We start from the raw sequence: 21,129 nt of genomic DNA, 5'->3' as shown, positions 1-21,129 counted from the left end.
CCTCGTGGCCTCGCCAGGTATGCGCGCGGGGCCCGGGGCGCGGGCCGGGGGCGGGCGCTGGAGCGGGGCCGGTGCCGGGCCCGCCGCGACACGCTCGGGGACGCGACGCACAAAGGCGCCTTCTGCCGCCCCCCGACCCCGCCCCGCGCTGCCCCCGTCCAGCGTGGCGGCCCGCCCCGGCAGGCGGTGAGGGGCTGTCGGGGTCCCCTCCTCCTGGGCCCGCCACCCCCCTCGCGGGCGACGTGCCCTGTCCGGGCGGCGCGCAGGCGCGGGCTTGTCCCACCGCGCAGGAATCCGAGGCCGCCGCGCGCGTTTCCGGCCCCAGCCCCGCCCGCGGTGCAGGGGAGCGAGTGCGCAGCCGCGTGTCGGGACTCGGACCCCCGTGGCCCCCGCCATACTCTCTTTCTCCACCCGCGGAGCTTTTGCTCAGGAATCCACTCTTGCAGCCAGGGAGCTTCCGGGCCCCCTCCTCCAGGGAGCGTTCCTGGCTGCTCCGGTGAGCACTTGCCTCCTCGCACCCCTGTCTGGGCACCTTGAGGACCCAGCCTGACCACTCCCCTCTCCTCTGTCTGCATAGGAAGGCGCCCCATTGGAAAGGGACCCCCCCCCCACCAGACCCTGGCAATCCCATGGCCAGGCCAGGGTTGGGAGTAAGGACCCACCAGGAAGGAGGGTGCCCGCCGCGTCAAGTGGGCAGTAGAACAAGGCTGGGTCCCAGGGATCCCCGCAAGCCAGGTGGCTCCGTGGCTCGGCCCCGCAGAGGCCAGAGTCCTCCGCCCTGCAGCCGGCGCTCACCTTTAGCGCCTTCTCCCTGGGCCATATGTGGCAGAGGGGGTGGGGCAAGTTCCAGGCCCACAGGGCACCACGGGCCTCTGGGAGGGGACGCTAATGACTGTAATTTCCACTTAGCAGATCAGGACGGCTGGCAGAGTGGAGCCATCCTCCTGCCTCTCAGGAGCCCGGGCGAGATCCTTCCTTGGGCCCCTCCTTTATCTGGACTCCTGGCCCTGGGCCCCTCCCACGTGGGATTTTGAGATTGCTCTCCCCTCCCCCAGGCTCAGAGGGTGGTCCTGTTTCCTGTGGGACCCCTTGTCCCCTTGTCCACTGGTTGGGGTGCTCAGTGGTGCTTGAACAGGGGTCGGGGACGCATGAAGGTGTACTGAGGGGGTAGCTGTCAGCCGGCTCCAGAGGCTGGGGGAGCAGGAAACAAGCACATAGGGTTGAGGGTTCTGAGCCGCGTGCCAGGCTTTAGCCTATGCTGGCTCCTTTGTGGTCAGAAGCCCAGGACATTCTGGGATCTGTCTTGATGCTGAGCAGGCCAGTGTCCTGAACAGCACCAGGCGCCCAGGAGTCTCTGGGTGGGGCAGTTGTGGCTGCCGAATGGGGGGTGCTAGGGCAGGAGGGTGAGCATGTGAGGCCAGGCTGGCGGAGAGGGGCTGGGACTCTGTGCCCTGTGGCAGACTGGGGAGGTGAGGGAAGGGGTTGCTGTGGCCATCACAGGCTGAAGGTGGGGACTGGGCCATTGCCCAGTGCTGGTCTCTGCCCGATTAGTCTGGGCACCAGGCCCCGTGCCCAGCTGGCAAGAGGTGAGGCAGGAGCTTCTGGGGCACCTGGGGAGCAGGCCCAGGCCCTGGGAGCTGGGGTTCCTGAGCTGAGGGAGTCAGCTCTGTCTCGCCTGGGCCTGCCTCCTGGCCTCCCCTGTGGCCTGGCTGGCAGGGCCTGGGCGTGGCCTCGCTCCCTGGAACTGGCAAGGATCAAAGGGTGGAAAGCCGTCCTCCACCCCCGCCCACTGAGACAGGAATCCGTGGCCCCAGGGGGCGGAATCCACAGCCACATTCCCGGTGCCCTGGTCCCTGCAAGGCAAGGGTGGGGCAGGGCTGGGGTGCCAAGATTGGCACCATAGAGCGTGGGAACGTGGTGCTGCTGGCACCCGGCCCAGTGCCTGAGCAGAGCGGACGGCACCCTCCTCTCGGCCGAGCCGTGGCCTTTGTCCCTTCTGACCTCCCTTGATGGCCTCAGGCACCAGGGCCTCAGCTGCCAAATGGGCTTCCACCTTGCCTGGAGGTGGGGTTTGCATCCTGGTGGCCCAGGAGGCCTGGGGGTCCTGAGGAGGTTGGGGCCTGGGTTTCTGTGGCTCAAAGCAGTGGGCACTCCCGACCCCCGGGGCGCTCTGGGCTGGGGGACTCGGCCTCCATCTGGGGCCAGTGGGGACCACAGGAGGGAGAGGGTGTTGACAGCTGGGGCATACCTGCTAGGGGTCACACCGAGCCCAGGCCCCTGGCACACACAGATATGCTCACACACGCACACAGCAGAAAGCAGAAAGGCAGCCGCTCAAAGGCAGCCTCGCTTGTTCTGGCCACAGCCCAAAAGCTCCCCAGGAGAGTTTGTCCTCAGCTGGCAGGTGCAGGGCTGAGTTGGCCCTGTGGACCCCCACCCATGGGTGCAGGGTCACCTGCTGGCGGAGACAACAGCCTTTAGGCACCTGTGCTGGGTGGGGTGGGTCCCTGCTCCCAGGGGCTGGAGACCAGCCTGCTGGAGCCAGGGCCCCAAGCTCTGTCCTGTAGTCCCATGCTCAGCCCCAGCAGTGATGCCTTCCCACCCCCACTGTACAGGTGGGGAAACGGAAGCCCAGAGAGGTCAGATGACTTTCCCAAATTGGTGGCTTGGAGGAATCCTGGAGACACAGACCTCCCACTCCCAAGAGCCAGGGCCGGTGGCATCCTCCTCTCTGGCCTGTTTCCTCATCTGGGGAGTGGGCCCACAGTGACCACCTGGCTGAGTTGTCCTGAAGCCCGGAAGGTACCAGCCAGAGGTCAGTTAGCCTCTTCTGTCCCCAGCCCCTGGGCTCCCAGATAAGCAGCACTGCTGTGTCCTAAGCCCGCCCCTGAGGCAGGGCGCCCCCTGGTGGTGCGACAGTGCCTTTCTGTGCCCTTGGGTGATAGGAGCTGAAGGAGGAGAAGGTGAGGGAGAGGTCAAGCCTGGAGCAGGCGCTGGGAGGGCTGCAGGCCAGGGCAGAGGGGCTGCTGGCTTGGAGCAATGCCCCTGGGGGCTGGTCCATGCAGGAAGGGCCTGGAGAGGACATTGGTCCCGCCAGGAGGCTGCAAGTCGGGACCTTGGCAGGGCTTCCATGGGCAGTTGAAGCCCATTAGGGCCCAAGGACACCATCCCCCGGAGGATGGCAGCAGGGGGAGCAGGACTGGTGCGCCAGACACTGCCCGCTGCTAGGGTGGGGAGTGTGGGCAGCCAGGCTGGGAGAAGTGGAGGCCAGGCCCAAGGTGTCCGTGTGTTGGCCAGCTGAGCCCATCCCTCTTCAGACCTGCACCCTGGGTGCCTCTAGAGGCCTCCCCGCCCTCTCCAGGATGCTCAAAGGCCCACACTACTTGACCCTGATCATCCCAGTGGCAGCCATCCAGGCATCAGGCCAGGTCTGGCACTGGGCAGCCGTGGGGCTTCTTTGGTGGAGATGTGAATGAATGAGGAGCCTCCCGGGGCTGCGGTCCCTCCTGGGCCCCAGCTTGCCTCCTGCAGCATGGGGTCCTTGTCAGTCAGCAGGCTGTGATGGGCAGGTGCTGAGGAACCTGCGGCAGGAGCGACAAGGCTAGGGGTGGGTGGGGGCCCTGGCTCACCCATCCCAGCCCCCCACACCAGGGGAGGGAGCATCCCTGGCCTTCGGGAGCTGTCAGGGCGGAGGCCATACGGGGATGTGGTGGGGTGGGCCAGCCCATGAGACCCCTCTGGGCTCTGGGTCTGGGTGGGAAGTGGTCTGCCTGGTCTCTGGGCCCAGGGTGAAGGGACAGGTCTCAGTTTGTGAGTTTGTGGTCCCCTGCTCCATCTCCTACCCTGCTTCGCGGGCAGTGGGTTCAGGGGGGATCTGGGAAGCGGGCTTGAGCCTGCTCAGGGCGGGGCAGCTGGGCCCCCACTCACCCCAGGGGCTTGCCAGCAACCTGGGCAGGGAGGCTCGTGTGCCCTGGGACTCCTGGTTCTGCAGCGAGTCCCTGCAGACCTGGGTCCCCCAGTGTGTCTGCACGGCAGGACCCCAGCTCCCTGGACTGTCAGTCCTTAAGGCTTCTGCGGAGTCCCCCATCCTGAGTGCCCAGCGCCGTCGGGGTGGGGGGTTCCCTGGGGTTGGCTGACCTGGCTGGCCCTCCTTCCTGGGCTCTGCTGTCACCTGAGCTGGGGGACTTCTTGGCCTGGAGGGTAAGCCGGGGACCATCTGCTCTCAGGGCACAGGCCTGCCCTTGCAGGGCGCTGAACCCACCACAACTCCCTCTAGCCCCCAGATGGCAAAGCACTCCTTGGCAAGGGCTGATCAGGGGAGGGGACAAGCTGGGCCAGCCAAACCTGGGGCGGGGGCCCAGTGTCCCCAGGGACTGGCATCTGAGACCTCCACTGTTTACACAACACCACACCCGAGGAGTGGATTGCCCAGAGTATGCGTGCGCGCACACACTGCTTCCAGCATACACACGATGCACACTTGCATGAGCACAGGGTACACACACATGTTCACACCAGCACTCACACACAGGCACACACCTTCACACGTGGAGGGCACACAGCACACTGCCTTGCATGACATGCACGCCCATTCACACCACTGTGTACAGCTCAGCCTGCCTCGAGCTCCCAGCTGGGTGCCCTCTGAACCTCCAAAACCCACAGCATGATGGAGGACACTGTGCGGGGAGTGGTGGGGGCTGGGGGCTGGTGAGTAGACGTGGCTCTGTGGTGTTGGGGCCTCTGGGCCTCAGTTTACCTTCCATGCAATTGTAACAACCATTTACAAGACACTTTGAATCTCAACGAGCCATTCTGAGATGGCCGTTAGCACCCTTTGCAGAGATGGGGAAACAGGCACAGAGCATTTGGTAATGTGCTCAAGGCCCTGGGGCAGGAGCTGGACAGGGTCTGCCCCGGGCTGTCTCTGGTGGTTGTGGAGTGAGGGGAGTTCACATCTGCCTGGGTCCGGAGCACAGAGGGTACTGCTACCTCCAGGCAGGCTGCCTGGGAGGGGGAGGGACACGGACAGGGCGGGCTCCAGCAGGAGGAACGAGGTGGGTGTGCGCCCCACCCCCGTGGAGGGAGCCTGTCCTCCCCTCGGCCCCGCTGGCTGGGGCCGGCCAAGAGCAGAAGAGGTCACAGGCCGCGGCCGGCTCTCCTGGGAATTCCAGGCGCGTGTGTCAGCGCGCTCGGCTTCGCCCCCGCCCCCAGCCCTCCGCCCGGGCTGGCGGTTTGGCAAAGAGAACTAGATTCCCGAGGGGGCGAGGGGCGGCTCCCAGGGCCTGGGACCGGGTTGGGGACTCAGGAACCCTTCTCCTCCGCCCACTCCTCCACTCCCAGAAGAGAGGTCCTGGCGGGAGCGGGTCCCCTCTCGACCTCCTTCCAGATGGCTCGCCATTTCTCCAGGGAGGGGGCTGAGGGAGGGCTTCATGGGGAGGGGAGCTCTGGGGCCCCGGGTGCTGGCACGTGCACCCGAATTCTCAGCACCTCCCTGCCCTGCCCGCAGGCAGGCTCGGTGAGGTCCCTAAGGTCAGGAATGATGCTTGTTTCTGCGCAAACCTCTGCCCGAGGACGGGCGGTGTCTGGAACCTGGATACGAATTCCAGTTGTGTCTCGACTTTCGAATCTGAAAAGTGGGAACAATAGCATCACCCACCTCGGGGTGATTGTGCAAATAAAAGAGCCAGAGGCGAGGCCAAGGGCGATCTGCCTGGGAAGCGGGCCGGCGCCCCACTAAGGCGCGCGTGCGTGCTGGGACCCAGGAAACCCAGCGCTGGGCCAGCTCTCCCGCCCCCGCCAGCTCGCCCCGCGCCAGCGCCCCAGCCTGCCTGGGCTCGCTCCAGCCTCTGCGGGGGCTCCTCCGGGCCGCGCAGACGCAGCCTCCCCGCCCGCCCCGCCGCTGCTCCGCCAGCGGCCTCGACAGGCCCAGGCGCGCTCCAGCCTGCGGCGGCATGAAGGTGGGCGCGGATGCCGCCGCCGCGAGGCTGCCCGCCTGCCCGGAGCCTGCCCCGCCGGGCGGGAAGGGCCAGGGAGGCTCCTGGCCGGGGGCGGAGATTGAAGGGTACGGTGCGGGCAGGAATGCTCTGGGCTGGGGGTTGGGGAGGCGCGGAGGGGACTGGGTGGTTCCCGGCCTGGGGGGAGGGGACAGGGAACTCGGGACCGAGGGGTGGGGAGCTGTGAGTCTCGGTTCTAGACCAGGGAGGGAACTGGGGAAGAGAATCCTGGGGATCGCTAGGGGAGAGGAGTACTTCTGGACCGCGGAGGCCACGCGAATCCTCCAGGCCCCCAGGGCGGGCTCCCCCGTCCTCCCTGCGCCCGTGGGCGCAGCACGCCCATTTCCCTGCCTGGGAAACAAAGGCCCCAGGTCTGCAGTGCGTCTGATGGCGGGGAGGAGACTGTGGCCGAGGGAGCCGTGTCCGTGGACGGCGTGCTGAGGGTCCCCCGCGCAGAGCTGACTGCACCCAGGAGAGAAGCGGCCCCGAGCGCAGGAGCCGAGGTTGCGGGTAACACCACCTCCGGGCTGCTGTCTCGACCTCTGCTGCTCTCGGCGCACTCCCGGGCGCGGGCGGGGGAACTGGAGGTCGGATGCCCTGGAGCGCGGGCCGGTCGGGCGCAGCGCAGCCGCAGCCACCAGGCGGCAGGGCAGCTCCGGGACCGGCGGGGCTGGGGACGTGGTTGGGGGAGCTGAGAAACACGTCTCAGTTTCTTAGGTCCGCCAGTCTCCTGGCCTGCACAGCCCGTCCCAGGAGCAGCCCGGTGGGGTCGCAAGTGGGGACCCAGGCCCCTGACACCCTCACCTTATCCTGGAGAGACTGTGGCAAGAGGGGAACAGGGAGGCCGCTGTCTCAGAGATATCAGGTGGAAGAAGTTTCTGGTCCCTGTGCCTCACCCTGCACCCTGCCTCTGATGGGCTGTGTGACCTTAAGCAACTTTCTCAGGCTCTTTGTGTCTCAGTTTCTTCTAAGAAAATGGGAGGTGGGCTGGGCGCGGTGGCTCACGCCTGTAATCCCAGCACTTTGGGAAGCCGAGGTGGGCGGATCACCTGAGGTCAGGAGTTCAAGACTGGCCTGGCCAACATGGTGAAACCCGGTCTCTACAAAAATACGAAAATTAGCCGGGCATGATGGCGGGTCCCTGTAGTCCCAGCTACTTGGGAGGCTGAGGCGGGAGAATCATTTGAACCCAGGAGGCAGAGGTTGCAGTGAGCCGAAATTGGGCCATTGCACCCCAGCCTGGGTGACAGAGTGAGACTCCATCTCAAAAAAAAAAAAAAAAAAAAAAAAAGAGAGCGAGAGAGAGAAAGAAGAGAAGATAAAATGGGAGGTGGGACGGTGAGAATTCCCAAGCTGCAGGGAATTGTCCCCCAGAGAAACAGGCTGTGGGAAGCTGGGTCTCTCCGGAGGGGAAGAGGAACTGAGCACCGGCCTGTTAGAGGAGGAGGGGCTGGTGAGCCTGGGACCCTGCAGGTCAGGGCCCAGCCATCGGGTTTGGATCTGGGCAGTGGGAGTGTACCTCCCCCACCAGGGCCTGGCCACCCCCCTAGAGTCCATTTTAGCTCTTGGGGTGCCATTGAGCATGCCCAGATGCCCCCACCAGCAGCTTCTGCCAGCATGGCCTGGCTGGCTGCATGGGTTGTCCTCCTGCCCCAGGCACTGGAGCTTGGCAGTAATGGGAAACGGGAGGTGACATGGGAGGGATTGGGGATGGAGAAGGCCCAGGACACGGTTGCTGAGGGTCTGCGCCTCACTGCATAAACCTGATGGGGGCCAGTCCCAGTGAGAGCAGGGGAGGTCACAGGCCTCTGGTGCCTTCTTGCCCACAAAGAAACTGAGGCAGGAAGCCACAACCAGCCTCTAGAAGCCCAGGACTCCCCCACATCACTCCCTGTTGTGTGGTTGTGGTCGGGGGTACTTCAATCACTGTGACCAGGGGACCAAGAGATTTTCCGGCTGAGGGTGATGGGGGTTTCTCTGAATCAAGAAAATTTCTAATGAATGGCTGAGCCTGGGTCATTAGTTATTCAGTGTCCGGGGAACTGAATGGGCCTCTGCCCCATGCCCAGTATGCTGTTTCCCAAGGCTGGGCTGCAGGCACAGAGTCTGAGGGGCTGCTGCCTCCAGTGCAGTGGGCACTACCAGCTGTCTGCCCTCCCAGGGCCAGCTCCATGGAGGGAGGAGCAGGGCTGGCTGGACCCCCTCTCCCAAGCTGTGGCAGTGCCTGGAGTTTCACCATCGCGCAGGGAGAACACAAGGTCGTCTCCAGGGTCCGAGACTTCCCTCGCTGGGTTCAGGCTGGTTTCAGGCTGTCCCAGGTAGCTGGAGGGAAGGGCCAGGGGTCAGGGCTCTTCGCGTGCCTCAATGCTGGACGCTCCCCTGTTCTTCCTGTCGGTGTTCACAGGCGGCTGTTCAGGGTCCCAGATGTGGAAGGGTGAGGCCCAGAACATGATGGGCTTGGGCAGCTGTGGGAAGTGAAGGCAGAGGGCAGGCCTGTGTCCCAGGGGAGCACCCAGCTGCCTCCTGACCCCCTCCCTGGGTCCTGCTTGCCAGTGGAGGGTTGGTGTGAGAGCACAGACCTTGTTTGACCTCAGACCTCAGGCCAGAACACCAGGATCCCTAGAGACCACAAGGTATGGCTGTCCCAAGGCTGTGGTGACTTAGAAAGTGATTAGTGGACAAAGCGTCCCCACTCTCCCGTCCAAGCCCAGCCCTGGGACCGGCCACTGAGCATCACTTCACTGGACAGGTGGGATGTGTTGTGTCCTCCCTGTCCTGAGACTCACCATCACTTGATGGCAGAACTGCCACAGACCTCTGGGCAGAATAAATGACTTTTATTACAGAGTAACTTAGACATAGCCAAACCCAAAATGTATACTTTGACAAAAGGATGTCCAAGGCCTGCCCTCACTCCCCTCTGGTTCCAGCTATCGAGGGCTCAGCCTCTCCAAGCTCTCCCTCCACTCACCCTGCAAAGCTGGGCTTTGACGTCTGCCTCTGTGAGCCCTCTCTGAATCTGCGTGGAAAAGGGTCACTCAGCAGGCCTGGGAGTGCACACTCTGCACAGTCCAAAGAAAAGCCTGGCCTCTGCTGGCTCCTGGGAGGAGCCCTGTGCCCATGGAGAGGATGACATCCCTGTCCTCAGCCTGTGGTGGATGGATGTGGGGGTGGGCTGCACCAGCAATCTGTGGCAGCCCTTAGGTCTGGCTGTCAGGCCTTTCTCTGCTGGTCTCCAATTCACTAAGGCATGAGGCTTGGAAGCAGCACCCCCAGTTGGAGTCAGCCCCCCAGGACGTGGGGCTTGTAGGGAAAACAAAGGGAGGAGAGGTGGATGGATACAGTGGTGAGTGGATGGATAGAGGGATGGATATATGGATGTATGAAAAGATGGACAAATGGATAGAGGAATGGATGGATAGAGCTGGATGTATGGAGGGGTGGATAGAGGAGTGGAAGGCTGGATAGAGGGATGGGTGGGTGGATGGGTGGAAGGATGGATGGATGGATGGGGGTAGATAGAGGAATGGAAAGATGGATAGAGGGATGGGTGGGTGGATAAATGGATGGATGGAGAGGTGGATACAGGAATGGATAGAAGGATGGATGGATGGATGAATAGAGGAGTGGGTGGGTGGATACAGGGATGAATGGATAGAGATGGATGGGTGGATGGTGAATAGAGGAGTGGAAGGGCAGATAGAGAGATAGATGGATGGGTGGATAGAGAGATGGGTGGATGGAGGGTGGAGGGGTGGATAGAGGAATGGATGGGTGGAGGGAGGATGGAGGGGTGGGTGGATGGGTGGATAGAGGAGTGGATGGGTGGATAGAGTGGTGGATGGAGATGGTTGGTTGGGTGGATGGATGGATGCCTGGGGGGTGGGTGGAGGAGTGGATAGAGAAGTGGATGGGTGGATAGAGTGGTGGGTGGATGGATGGAGGGGTGGGTGGAGGGGTGGATAGAGGAGTGGAAGGGCAGATAGAGGGATAGATGGATGTGTGGATAGAGAGATGGTGGATGGAAGATGGAGGGGTGGGTGGAGGGGTGGATAGAGAAGTGGATGGGTGCATAGAGTGGTGGGTGGATGGATGGAGGGGTGGGTGGAGGGGTGGATAGAGGAGTGGAAGGGCAGATAGAGGGATAGATGGGTGGATAGACGGGTGGATGGAGGATGGAGGGGTGGGTAGAGGGGTGGATAGAGAAGCGGTTGGGTGGATAGAGTGGTGGGTGGATGGATGGAGGGGTGAGTGGAGGGGTGAATAGAGGAGTGGAAGGGCAGATAGAGGGATTGATGGATGTGTGGATAGAGAGATGGGTGGATGGAGGATGGAGGGTTGGGTGGAGGGGTGGATAGAGGAGTGGGTGGGTGGATAGAAGGATGGATAGAGATGGATGGATGGGTGGATGGATGGATGATGGAGGGGTGGGCGGAGGGGTGGAGAGAGGAGTGAATGGGTGGATAGAAGGATGGATAGAGATGGGTGGATGGATGGATGATGGAGGGGTGGGTGGAGGGGTGGAGAGAGGAGGGGATGGGTGGATAGAAGGATGGATAGAGATGGATGGATGGGTGGAGGGGTGGAGAGGAGTGGATGGGTGGATAGAAGGATGGATAGAGATGGATGGATGGGTGGATGGATGGATGCCTGGGGGATGGGTGGAGGGGTGGATAGAGGAATGGATAGGTGGATAGAGGGGAGGATGGATAGAAATGGATAGATGGATGGCTGGAGGGGGGGATGGGGGTTGATGGGGGATGGATGGATGGATAGAGGGATCGAAGGATAGAGATGGATGGATGGGTAGATGGTGGGTGAAGGGGTGGATAGAGGAGTGGAAGGGTGTATAGAGAGATGGATGGGTAGATGCAGAGATGTGTGAAGGAACAAGTACAGTAAATTGTTAACTAGAATTCAAGTGGTGAGTGGGGTTACACTGTGTGATTCTTTTCATGTTGCTATATGTTTAAAAATATGCAATGTTGGGGAAATTATAGACAAGACTTTTACACACACACACACACACACACACACACACACACACGTATGTACACTGCTAAATAACATAAGCTAAAGAAGGGATCATAATAGAAACCTTAAAAACCCAGAACTGGGCCGGGCGTGGTGGCTCATGCCTGTAATCCCAGCACTTTGGGAGGCCGAGGTGGGTGGATCACTTGAGGTCAAGAGTTTGAGACCAGCCTGACCACATGGTGAAACCCTATCTCTACTAAAAATAACAAAAAATTAGCCGGGTGTGGTAGCACATGCCTGTAATCCCAGCTACTCGGGAGGCTGAGACAGAAGAATCACTTGAACCCAGGAGGCAGAGGTTGCAGTGAGCCGAGATCGTGCCATTGCACTCCAGCCTGGGCAACAGAGTGAGATTTCATCTCAGTAAATAAATAAACAAACAGAACTGGATGATCATGAAAACATTGCACACCCAGCTTGTGGGGGGCCACAGAAGCGGGGCTTCCAGAAGCATTGCTACAGATGCTTACAGTGAAAAGAAGAAATCTTAAGGTTTGTAAGCTGTCTCCATCTCAGAAAGTTAGGGGGCAGGATTGACTGTGAAGAGGCATGAGGGAACCTTTTGGGAGATGGCAATTTTTTTTTTTTCTTTTGAGACAGAGTCTCACTCTGTCACCCAGGCTGGAGTGCAGTGGCGAAATTTCGATTCTCCTGCTCAGCCTCCAAGTAGCTGGGACTACAGGCGTGCGTCACCACGCCTGGCTAATTTTTGTATTTTTAGTAGGGATGGGGTTTCACCATGTTGGCCAGGCTGGTCTCAAACTCCTGACCTCAGGTGATGCACCTGCCTTGGCCTCCCAAAGTGCTGGGACTACAGGCGTGAGCCACTGCGCCCGGCCAGGAGATGGAAATGTTTTACAGTTCGGTTGTGCTGGTGGTTACAGAGCTAAACGCATGTGTCAAGTCAGAACTGTGCATACCAGAGGAGTGAATTGCACTGTATGTAAATTATACCTTAAATTTTAAAAAATGAATTTTAAAAAGAGGAAGTTGGGAGGTAAACAAAAGCAAAAACAGTGTAAGCCCAGAAAGTTGAGAAAATGGAGATAAAAATAAGATCAGAAATCAATGAAATAGCAAAGATGCAATAGAGAAGAACAATGAAGACAAAAATTGGTTCTTCGAAAAAAATTATCCAACAAAATGGATCAACAGTTCTGGGAAGAAGGAGCAAAGAAAGGAAAGACACAAATAATATGAACAAAAAAAGGCCAAGTTGCAGATTTAAAAGATAATAATTACCACAGACTGGTGGAAAATTTTCAGATCATTTATCAGATAAAGGACTTCCATTCAGAATATATAAAGAATTCAGAACTGAACAATAAAAAAAAAAAAAAACCCAGTTTAAAAATGGGCTAATGCTGGGCGCGGTGGCTCACGCCTGTAATCCCAGCACTTTGGGAGGCCGAGGTGGGCGGATCACTTGAGGTCAGGAGTTCGAGACCAGCCTGACCAACATGGTGAAACTCCATCTCTACTAAAAAAAAAATACAAAATTTGCTGGGCATGGTGGCGCATGCCTGTAATTCCAGCTACTTGGGAGGCTGAGACAGGAGAGTTGCTTGAACCCGGGAGGCAGAAGTTGCAGTGAGCCAAGATCACGTCATTGCACTCCAGCCTGGGCAACGAGAGTAAAACTCTGTCTTAAAAAAAAAGGCTAACAGCTGGGTGTGGTGGCTTATGTCTGTAATCCTAGCACTTTGGGAGGCTGCGGTGGGAGGATAGCTTGAAGCCAGGAGTTCAAGACCAGCCTGGACAACATAGAGAGGCCCTGTCTTTACAAAAATAAAAATAAAAAATTAGCTGGGCATGGTAGCATGTGCCTGTAGTCCTACCTTCTTGGGAGGCTGAGGTGGAAGGATTGCTGAAGCCCAGGAATTGCAGGTTACAGTGAGCTATGATTGCACTACTGCATTCCAGCCCGGGAGACAGAGTGAGACTGTCTCAAAAAAGAAAAAGAGAGGAAGAGAAAAGGAAAGGAAAAAAAAAGGCTAAAGATCTGAAGAAACAGAGTCACAGAAGGTATACAGACGGCAGATACGAACATGAAAAGACGCGCCACGTAATTTCTCGTTAGGCGAGTGTAGATTAAACGCAATGCCATCCCATTGCACAGCCACGCAAACAGAGCGCCACAGAAGGTATACAGATGGCAGATAAGCACATGAGAAGACGCTCAACATAATTTCTCATTAGGCGAGTGCAGATTGAAAGCACGATGCCATCCCATCGCACAGTCACGAAATGGCTAAAACATAATCACACAAGTAAAATGACAATGCCACATGCTGACACAGATGTGAAGCACGAGAAATTCTCATCTACTGCTGGTGAGAATGCAAAATGGTGCAGCCGTTGTGGAAAAGAAATTGGCCATTTCTCACCCAGAAATGCCACTCACATAAATCTTCACAGCAGCTTTATTTATAATCACTAAAAACTGGAAGCAGCTCTCCCTCTCCCTCTCCCTCTCCCTCTCCCCACGGTCTCCCTCTCTTTCCACAGTCTCCCTCTCATGCGGAGCCGAAGCTGGACTGTACTGCTGCCATCTCGGCTCAGGCTCACTGCAACCTCCCTGCCTGATTCTCCTGCCTCAGCCTGCCGAGTGCCTGCGATTGCAGGCACGCGCTGCCACGCCTGACTGGTTTTGGTGGAGACGGGGTTTTGCTTTGTTGGCCGGGCTGGTCTCCAGCTCCTAATCGCGAGTGATCTGCCAGCCTCGGCCTCCCGAGGTGCCGGGATTGCAGACGGAGTCTGGTTCACTCAGTGCTCAATGGTGCCCAGGCTGGAGTGCAGTAGCGTGATCTCAGCTCACTACAACCTACACCTCCCAGCCGCCTGCCTTGGCCTCCCAAAGTGCTGAGATTGCAGCCTCTGCCCGGCCGCCACCCCGTCTGGGAAGTGAGGAGTGTCTCTGCCTGGCCGCCCATCGTCTGGGATGTGGGGAGCCCCTCTGCCTGGCTGCCCAGTCTGGAAAGTGAGGAGCGTCTCCGCCCAGCCGCCATCCCATCTAGGAAGTGAGGAGCGCCTCTTCCCGGCCGCCATCACATCTAGGAAGTGAGGGGCGTCTCTGCCCGGCCGCCCATCGTCTGAGATGTGGGGAGCACCTCTGCCCCGCCGCCCCATCTGGGATGTGAGGAGCGCCTCTGCCCGGCCGCGACCCCGTCTGGGAGGTGAGGAGCGTCTCTGCCCGGCCGCCCCGTCTGAGAAGTGAGGAGCCCCTCCGCCCGGCAGCCACCCCGTCTGGGAAGTGAGGAGCGTCTCCGCCCGGCAGCCGCCCCGTCCGGGAGGGAGGTGGGGGGGTCAGCCCCCCGCCCGGCCAGCCGCCCCGTCCGGGAGGTGAGGGGCGCCTCTGCCTGGCCGCCCCTACTGGGAAGTGAGGAGCCCCTCTGCCCGGCCACCACCCCGTCTGGGAGGTGTGCCCAACAGCTCATTGAGAACGGGCCATGATAACAATGGTGGTTTTGTGGAATAGAAAGGGGGGAAAGGTGGGGAAAAGATTGAGAAATCGGATGGTTGCCGTGTCTGTGTAGAAAGAAGTAGACATGGGAGACTTCATTTTGTTCTGTACTAAGAAAAATTCTTCTGCCTTGGGATCCTGTTGATCTGTGACCTTACCCCCAACCCTGTGCTCTCTGAAACGTGTGCTGTGTCCACTCAGGGTTAAATGGATTAAGGGTGGTGCAAGATGTGCTTTGTTAAACAGATGCTTGAAGGCAGCATGCTCGTTAAGAGTCATCACCACTCCCTAATCTCAAGTAATCAGGGAGACAAACACTGCGGAAGGCCGCAGGGTCCTCTGCCTAGGAAAACCAGAGACCTTTGTTCACTTGTTTATCTGCTGACCTTCCCTCCACTATTGTCCCATGACCCTGCCAAATCCCCCTCTGTGAGAAACACCCAAGAATTATCAATAAAAAAAAAAAAAACAAAAAAAAAACAAAACTGGAAGCAAATCCACTGTTCTTCAGTCGGTGAGTAGATCAAACCTGCAGCCCATGGGTGGAATGGAATACTATTCAGCAACAAAAAGGAAGAGGCCATCAATTCAAATGTCATGCATGAGTCTCCAATGCATTTTTCTTTGTGAAAGAAACCAGATTCAAAAGGTTACTATCTGTACTAATAAGCATTATTGTGCATATTAATTGATTAATTGCATTAATTAAATGCATTGACTAAACTGCATATTGGTTGATTGATTAATTACATTAATATGACATTCCAGAAAAAGCAAAGCTAGAGAGAAGGAAAATAGATTGGTGGTTGCAGGGGTTGGGGATGGGGGCAGCACAGGGGGATTTGAGGGTGACGAGACTGTTCTGAATCGTGACTGTGGGAGTGGATGACGTGATTGTGCATTTGTCAAAACCTGTAGAACTGAACACCAGACAGTGCATTTTTTGGATATGTATATTAAGATTTTTTTATGCAAAAAAAAAAAAAAAGCAATTCTAAGAAAAGATAATCTTCCCATGCAGACATTTTGGGCTGGAAGGACCCGTTTTTCGAGTGAAGTCACAGAGGCCAGAGGACAGCAACCTCAGAGCCTGCCTGCCTCAAAGCCGAAGGAAGGGGCTCTGCTGACGATGGAACTGCTCTCTCTGAAGGTGGAGGATTGACAGGAGCTGCCTGGCTGAGGCCGAGGCAAGCCTTGTGCCCAGGCCAGAGCTGGAGCCCACAGCTGCAGCTGGGAAGATGCCCCCAGGACCTCTGAGCAGTTTGCACATGGCATCGGGCCCCGTGGGTCCGGTCCACACCCCCGTCTTGCCCTGAGGGAGCCCAGCCCAGAGACTTGAGGCAGCCTGCTTGGGGTCTCACAGCAGTAAGATGGCCCAGGGGTCCGGGCCTGTGGCCACCCATGCTCCTGGCTGGCCTGGAGCCATGTGTGGGGGTTTGTGTGTGTGTCCCTGTGTGAGTGTGTGTCTGAACACACATATGCAAATGCATGCCTGTGTGTGCACCTGTGTCTGAGTGTGTGTGCACCTGTGTATGTGAGAGTGTGTGTGCACCTGTGTGTGTGTGTGTGTGCACCTGTGTATGTGAGAGAGTGTGTGTGCACCTGTGTGAGAGTGTGTGTGTGCACCTGTGTGTGTGCACCTGTGTGTTGAGTGTGCATGTGTGTAAAGATGAGATCTCTCAGGTGGGTGAGGCAGTGGATGGGTGCCAGCACGAGCAGGGCTGGAAGGTGTGGCTTTGGGGTGAGGGGGCTAGAAGATGCAGCTTTGGGGGTGAGGCCCTGTCCAGGCGGGTGTTGGGTTCCTCCACCCCGGAAGGAAGTCACACCCCTGAGCAGGGGACACAGGCCAAGGCTGTGGAGTCTGTAGGTGAGGGGGCAGGAAGTGGAGCACCCCCCCAACCTCCTGCATTTTCTGTGAGGCAAAGGAGTGCCCTCCACTGCCCTGCCGCGGGCCGGTCAGAGCCGTGCAGCAGAACTCCTTTCACACGCACACACGTGTGTGCATTCTCACACACACACGTATACACATACTGGCATGCCCGTGTTCACATGCACAGGCTGTTCCTCAGCCCTCCAGCTCCTGCCCGGACTCCACCAACTCTGAGCACCTGGTAAATGCCCCCCACCCGCCCTCTGGCCTGCCCCTCATCCTCCCCCGCCGTGGGCGGGCAACTCTGCCCTGCCAGCCTCACGTGGCCTCTTAGCCCTTAGGCCCTAGGATCCTCTGAGCCCTCTCGATGTCCTGTGCAGTGCCTTCAGGCTGGATGTCCTCTAGGCCTCGCCTCTCCCACAGCCTGAGGGTGGCTGTGGCTTGGGGATGTCCACTCCCCCAGTCCTCCTCTCCCACGGACAGCCCTGAGCCCTCCTGCTCCCCTGCCCTCCGTCTCCTGGCCCAGCCTCCTTGGCCCATGGCCTTGCCCACTCTGCGTCACCCCTCACCCCTCCCTGCTTTTGCCCTCACTGTCCCCTCGGCCCGGGATGCCCTGGCCTGCCTCAGCGGGCTCCGCTCAAGCCCAGCCCCTCTGCAAAGCTTCCCGTCCTGCTCCAGGATTTGGGCCTGGCCCGCATGCCCAGGGTGGTGATGGTGGCCTTTCTCCAGGGCCTGCTGACGGGAGGAGCCCCCTCCCAGGACTGTGGGTCCTTGGAGGCAGAGAGCTCCCCCACCTCAGAAGCTGCCCGGGGTGGGGCGTGCCGCGGGCCTGCAGGTCTGTCTGCCAGAAACCCCCAGTTTCTGTGGGGTCAGCCCCGACTCCACTGGCCCTCCTTTATTAGTGACAGTGAGGGGTCCCGCAGCCCAGAAGCCTTGGGTCCCTGACCCTGGATTGTTAACCAGACCCCTGGCAGCTGAGCTTGGCTGGAACCCCGACAGCCTGCAGAGGGAACCAAAATGTTTCCAGCATGGGTGCTGAGCGCTGGCATCAGCCAGGGTGCTTTCCACCTGGGGTTGCTGTCTCCCCAGTGGTGTCTGGGTTGCTGTCCTGGCCTCAGCTGCCAACCTGGACACTGCACCTTTAGGGGCTTCCCCCGGGCTGAAGGACACTGGCAGGGACGCAAGGGCTGCCCCTCTATCGCGTGGCCTCCTGGCACTAGCCGTCTCCCAGCCACCCTCCCAGCCGCCAGCCCTCCCGTGGGGGCGTCGGAACAATGATTCTAAAACAGGACAGCTCTGAGCTTTCCCCTGGCTGCCCGAAGGCTACCAGGACTTCTTGCCTGGACATTTGGGGCTGGAAACTTCTTTGTGGTGGCGGGAGGGGCTGTCCTGTGTGTTGCAGGACATTTTCCAGCTTCCTTGGTCTCCACCCACTAGAAGCCAGTGGCACCCCTCCCTGCCGTGAAGTCCAAAGATGTCTCCAGAGACCCTAACTGTCCCCTCTGTGGAACGGGGGACACTGGACCCCCCCCTCACTGGCACGGGGAAGGGGAGGTGCCTGTTGGGAGCCACTGGGCCGGGTTCCCCCATAAGGGTTTCCGTGCTGAGCTCCTGCTGGCCTGGATGGGGGCAGGGGAAGCAGCTGCACTTCTGCTGATCCGCAGAGGGCCTGTGGGGAGCAGTCTGCTCCCTCCGCTGCCCCGCCCCATCCCTATCCCCCGCCCTGAGGCCTGGGGGGTGGCCCTTATCTTGGGCCTTTCCTGTCTCAAAGCACCATTAGGGCAAAACAAGCAGTTCCTAAAAGCGGCTGAGAATAGGCCCTGAGGGCTTGGCAGGGGCTGTGGGGGTGGGAGGGAGGGTCTGGGGGAGCTCGGGGCAGGGGCTGTGGGGGTGGGAGAGGGTCTGGGGGAGCTCGGGGCAGGGGCTGTGGGGGTGGGAGGGAGGGTCTGGGGGAGCTCGGGGCAGGGGCTGTGGGGGTGGGAGGGAGGGTCTGGGGGAGCTCGGGGCAGGGGCTGTGGGGGTGGGAGGGAGGGTCTGGGGGAGCTCGGGGCAGCGGGGCTGCAAAGGAGGCCCAGGGCCATGAGGAGGGTAAGTCCCCCACCTGTGGAGACTCTGTGGGTCCCCGCCCAGACCTGGCACCCAGCAGGTACTTCACAGAAGAGCTGTGCCTGGGCAGATGGCTCCTGGGTGTGGTGGGACGTTCAGCAGCATCCCTGGCCCCACCTAGCCACCGCAGCCGGCTGCACGTCGCTCCTTCCTGAGTCCTGGAAGCTGGCCCTGGATGTGGCACCTGTTGGCTCCAGCTGGCTCCAGGCCCTCAAGGAGTGTCACAGGGACTGTTCGGCCGGGGTTTGCCTGCTGCTGCTACCCCCCCAGGGACGAAAAAGGATGGTCAGTGGAGACCAGGGACCGCCGGGGGCAGGAGCAGATACAGGGCGAGTGGACACGCCCCAAGGCCCAGCTCCACAGGGGTTGGGGGGACAGCCAGGCTCGAGGCGGGTTCCCTAGGGAAGTGCATTCCAAAGGGGATCAGCCCCCCACGCTGTGAAGGGCAATGAGAAGGATGCAGCCCCCACCAGGCCCAGCCCTTCCTTGGGGCCCCAGGGGAGGGTCTCTGAGGAGGGTGAGCTTCGGGGCAGGGGCCCTGAGCTGCAGGTGGAGGGGTGTACTCTGCGGTTGAGGAGAATTTTCAGGGGCCAGCTCTGGGGTTCAGGGGGCCACATGATACCAAGCCCTTACCCCAGAGAGCCACCCACACCCCACACTGAGGGTGGACCCCCCAACCTTGGCCTCCCACTGCTGCAGGGTCTTCCTCCCCACCAGTTCCTAGAGAGGAGAGCTGGGAGTGACAGTCCCCAGAGAGGGGACAGCCAGGAGCCCAGCTCTGGGAAGCCCCCAGGGACCTGCTTCAATCTCTCCTGGACCCTCCAGGTAACAGATGGGTTCTCGGAGCATCCCCTGCCAGCCCAGAGCTTGAGACCACAGGGGAATAGCCCCTGCCCCGGGAGCATCGAGCAGCCCAGACTGCAGCCAAACCCCGCGCCAAGCAGAGAGGGCAAGAGAATGACAAGCATGGTCCTGGGGGGCCGTGGACGCATGGTCACCGCGGGAGCAGTGGCGGAGGTGGCTGTGAGTTGGACCCTGGCAGGGAGCAAGACCCAGAGGCTGGTGGAGGAAACAGGTAGAGGAAGGGGAGTTTATTAGGGGGGTGGTGGTGCCGGGGGCGTGGCAGGCTCCGAGGCCCAGCTGGACACAAGGACCCAGATTCGTCTGGCCAGGCCTGGGCAACCCAGCCTCGACCACACTAGGTATGGGCTGCCCAGAAGAGGAGCCACTCTGCCCAGGGTGGGCTGCAGAACCTGATGGGCCAGAGTCCTGTCCTGGGATTGTTCCAGAAATCAAGGCTGTAGCTTGAGACTGGGGGCTTCCCCAGGTCTTCCACCCTGAGGGGAGAGCAGCTGGCCGTGGACACCACCCTCAGGGAGCTGAGAGGCCAGAGGTGGAGAGAGGCTGGGGGCCGGCTCTGCAGCCCCCAGGCCCCCACTGCAGCCCCCAGGCCACCCTTGGCTGCCGGCTTAGGGCCCTTGGCTTGCTCAGCCTATCTTTAGCCACCATGGCCTCGTAGGGTGCCCTGCAGCCCCTTCTTGGCCCAGGCGAGCCCTGGAGCAGTTCTTCACTTGGACAGGTGCATGGTTTACGGTGAGGGATTCAGCTTGCCAGAACCCGCATGCCCCTTGGAAGCCCCTTTTTCTGCCCCCAGCAGCTCCACTCCCACCACCGCACCCACCCCAGCAGCTAGTCTAAAGCTCTCTGTCTCCAGGGATGCTCCCAGCCCCCCTCCAGCAGATGGCCTTTCTGGAAACACCCTTAGGCTGAGCCTCTGTCCACTCCACTGGTGTAACCAACAACAGGGAGCTCCCAAGGACCCCACAAAAAGGCAGACATTGTAAGGGGGAAACTGAGGCCCAAAGTGTCCGGCAGCTTGCCCAGATCCCACGGGCAGGGAGCAGGAGCCGGGATTGGGCTCATTCCTTCAGCTGGCAACCGTCCATTTGTAGGGGCAGAGGCGGCAGGGACATAGCCTCCTGCTTGGAGCTGGGAAGCGGGGGCGGTGAGGGGGACACAGAGGAAGACTACCCAGCTCCACCCAGGCCTGCCTGTGGGGGCACTTCCTGCGGGATGCGGGGACTCTGATGAGACCCAAAGGAGGAATGAGAAATGTGGGCAGAGCTGGAGCCGGCCAGGGATGGGATGATCCCACAGGTGTGAGAGCAAGGGAGTGCCCTGTCCGCACCTCTGCTTTCTGGTGTCCCCACCATACCTTTCTGTTACGTCCCTTCTCTCCTTCTGAGAGGCTGTCCCATCCCAGCTGCACACCATTCTCATTGAAGTGAAAAGGCTGCCTCCCGACCCCAGCTGCCCAGGGCAGTCATCCACACCCTGGCTCTGGGCCATCCGCCCCTCTCGTGGTTCCTACGGTCCGTGTCCTCTGTGGCACCTCAAGTGCCCCCTGCCTGCCCCAGGGACAGCCACTCACTGGGCTCAGAGCCCCCTGACACACACACAGCAGGGGGCTTCGAGAGTCCAGGGATGCCTCCTGGAGTCACGGCTCTGCCAAGCTCCCCAAAGTTGACTTGGTGGGGGAGCTGGCATCCTGACTACATGGCCGTGTTGACAGGACCAGCGAGCAGCCTCCTGGTATCTGCTGTTAATCCTCATGACTGCTCTCAAACCTCTCAACTCTACTGAAGACACAGACACAG

General features: G+C 60.0%; 7 annotated features.

The window, feature by feature from the left end:
* Positions 117-376: a silencer, noted in NCBI's record as "silent region_6218". NCBI's record gives its function as "represses an Ori minimal core promoter by ATAC-STARR-seq in GM12878 lymphoblastoid cells {active_cell/tissue: GM12878}" and the evidence as "EXISTENCE:reporter gene assay evidence [ECO:0000049][PMID:35858748]".
* Positions 2,821-2,990: a silencer, noted in NCBI's record as "silent region_6217". NCBI's record gives its function as "represses an Ori minimal core promoter by ATAC-STARR-seq in GM12878 lymphoblastoid cells {active_cell/tissue: GM12878}" and the evidence as "EXISTENCE:reporter gene assay evidence [ECO:0000049][PMID:35858748]".
* Positions 5,686-6,015: a silencer, noted in NCBI's record as "silent region_6216". NCBI's record gives its function as "represses an Ori minimal core promoter by ATAC-STARR-seq in GM12878 lymphoblastoid cells {active_cell/tissue: GM12878}" and the evidence as "EXISTENCE:reporter gene assay evidence [ECO:0000049][PMID:35858748]".
* Positions 6,526-6,795: a silencer, noted in NCBI's record as "silent region_6215". NCBI's record gives its function as "represses an Ori minimal core promoter by ATAC-STARR-seq in GM12878 lymphoblastoid cells {active_cell/tissue: GM12878}" and the evidence as "EXISTENCE:reporter gene assay evidence [ECO:0000049][PMID:35858748]".
* Positions 14,041-14,991: an enhancer, noted in NCBI's record as "NANOG-H3K27ac hESC enhancer chr14:105544918-105545868 (GRCh37/hg19 assembly coordinates)". NCBI's record gives its function as "activates a minimal SCP1, AML or CMV promoter by ChIP-STARR-seq in primed H9 embryonic stem cells {active_cell/tissue: H9 hESC(primed)}" and the evidence as "EXISTENCE:reporter gene assay evidence [ECO:0000049][PMID:30033119]".
* Positions 15,352-15,852: an enhancer, noted in NCBI's record as "H3K4me1 hESC enhancer chr14:105544057-105544557 (GRCh37/hg19 assembly coordinates)". NCBI's record gives its function as "activates a minimal SCP1, AML or CMV promoter by ChIP-STARR-seq in naive H9 embryonic stem cells {active_cell/tissue: H9 hESC(naive)}" and the evidence as "EXISTENCE:reporter gene assay evidence [ECO:0000049][PMID:30033119]".
* Positions 16,280-16,359: a silencer, noted in NCBI's record as "silent region_6214". NCBI's record gives its function as "represses an Ori minimal core promoter by ATAC-STARR-seq in GM12878 lymphoblastoid cells {active_cell/tissue: GM12878}" and the evidence as "EXISTENCE:reporter gene assay evidence [ECO:0000049][PMID:35858748]".

Source organism: Homo sapiens, chromosome 14, assembly GCF_000001405.40.
Source record: "Homo sapiens chromosome 14, GRCh38.p14 Primary Assembly".
NCBI classification, from domain to species: domain Eukaryota; kingdom Metazoa; phylum Chordata; class Mammalia; order Primates; family Hominidae; genus Homo; species Homo sapiens.
The sequence above is the reverse complement of the archived record's forward strand: the minus strand, read 5'-3'. Positions and strand labels throughout refer to the sequence as shown.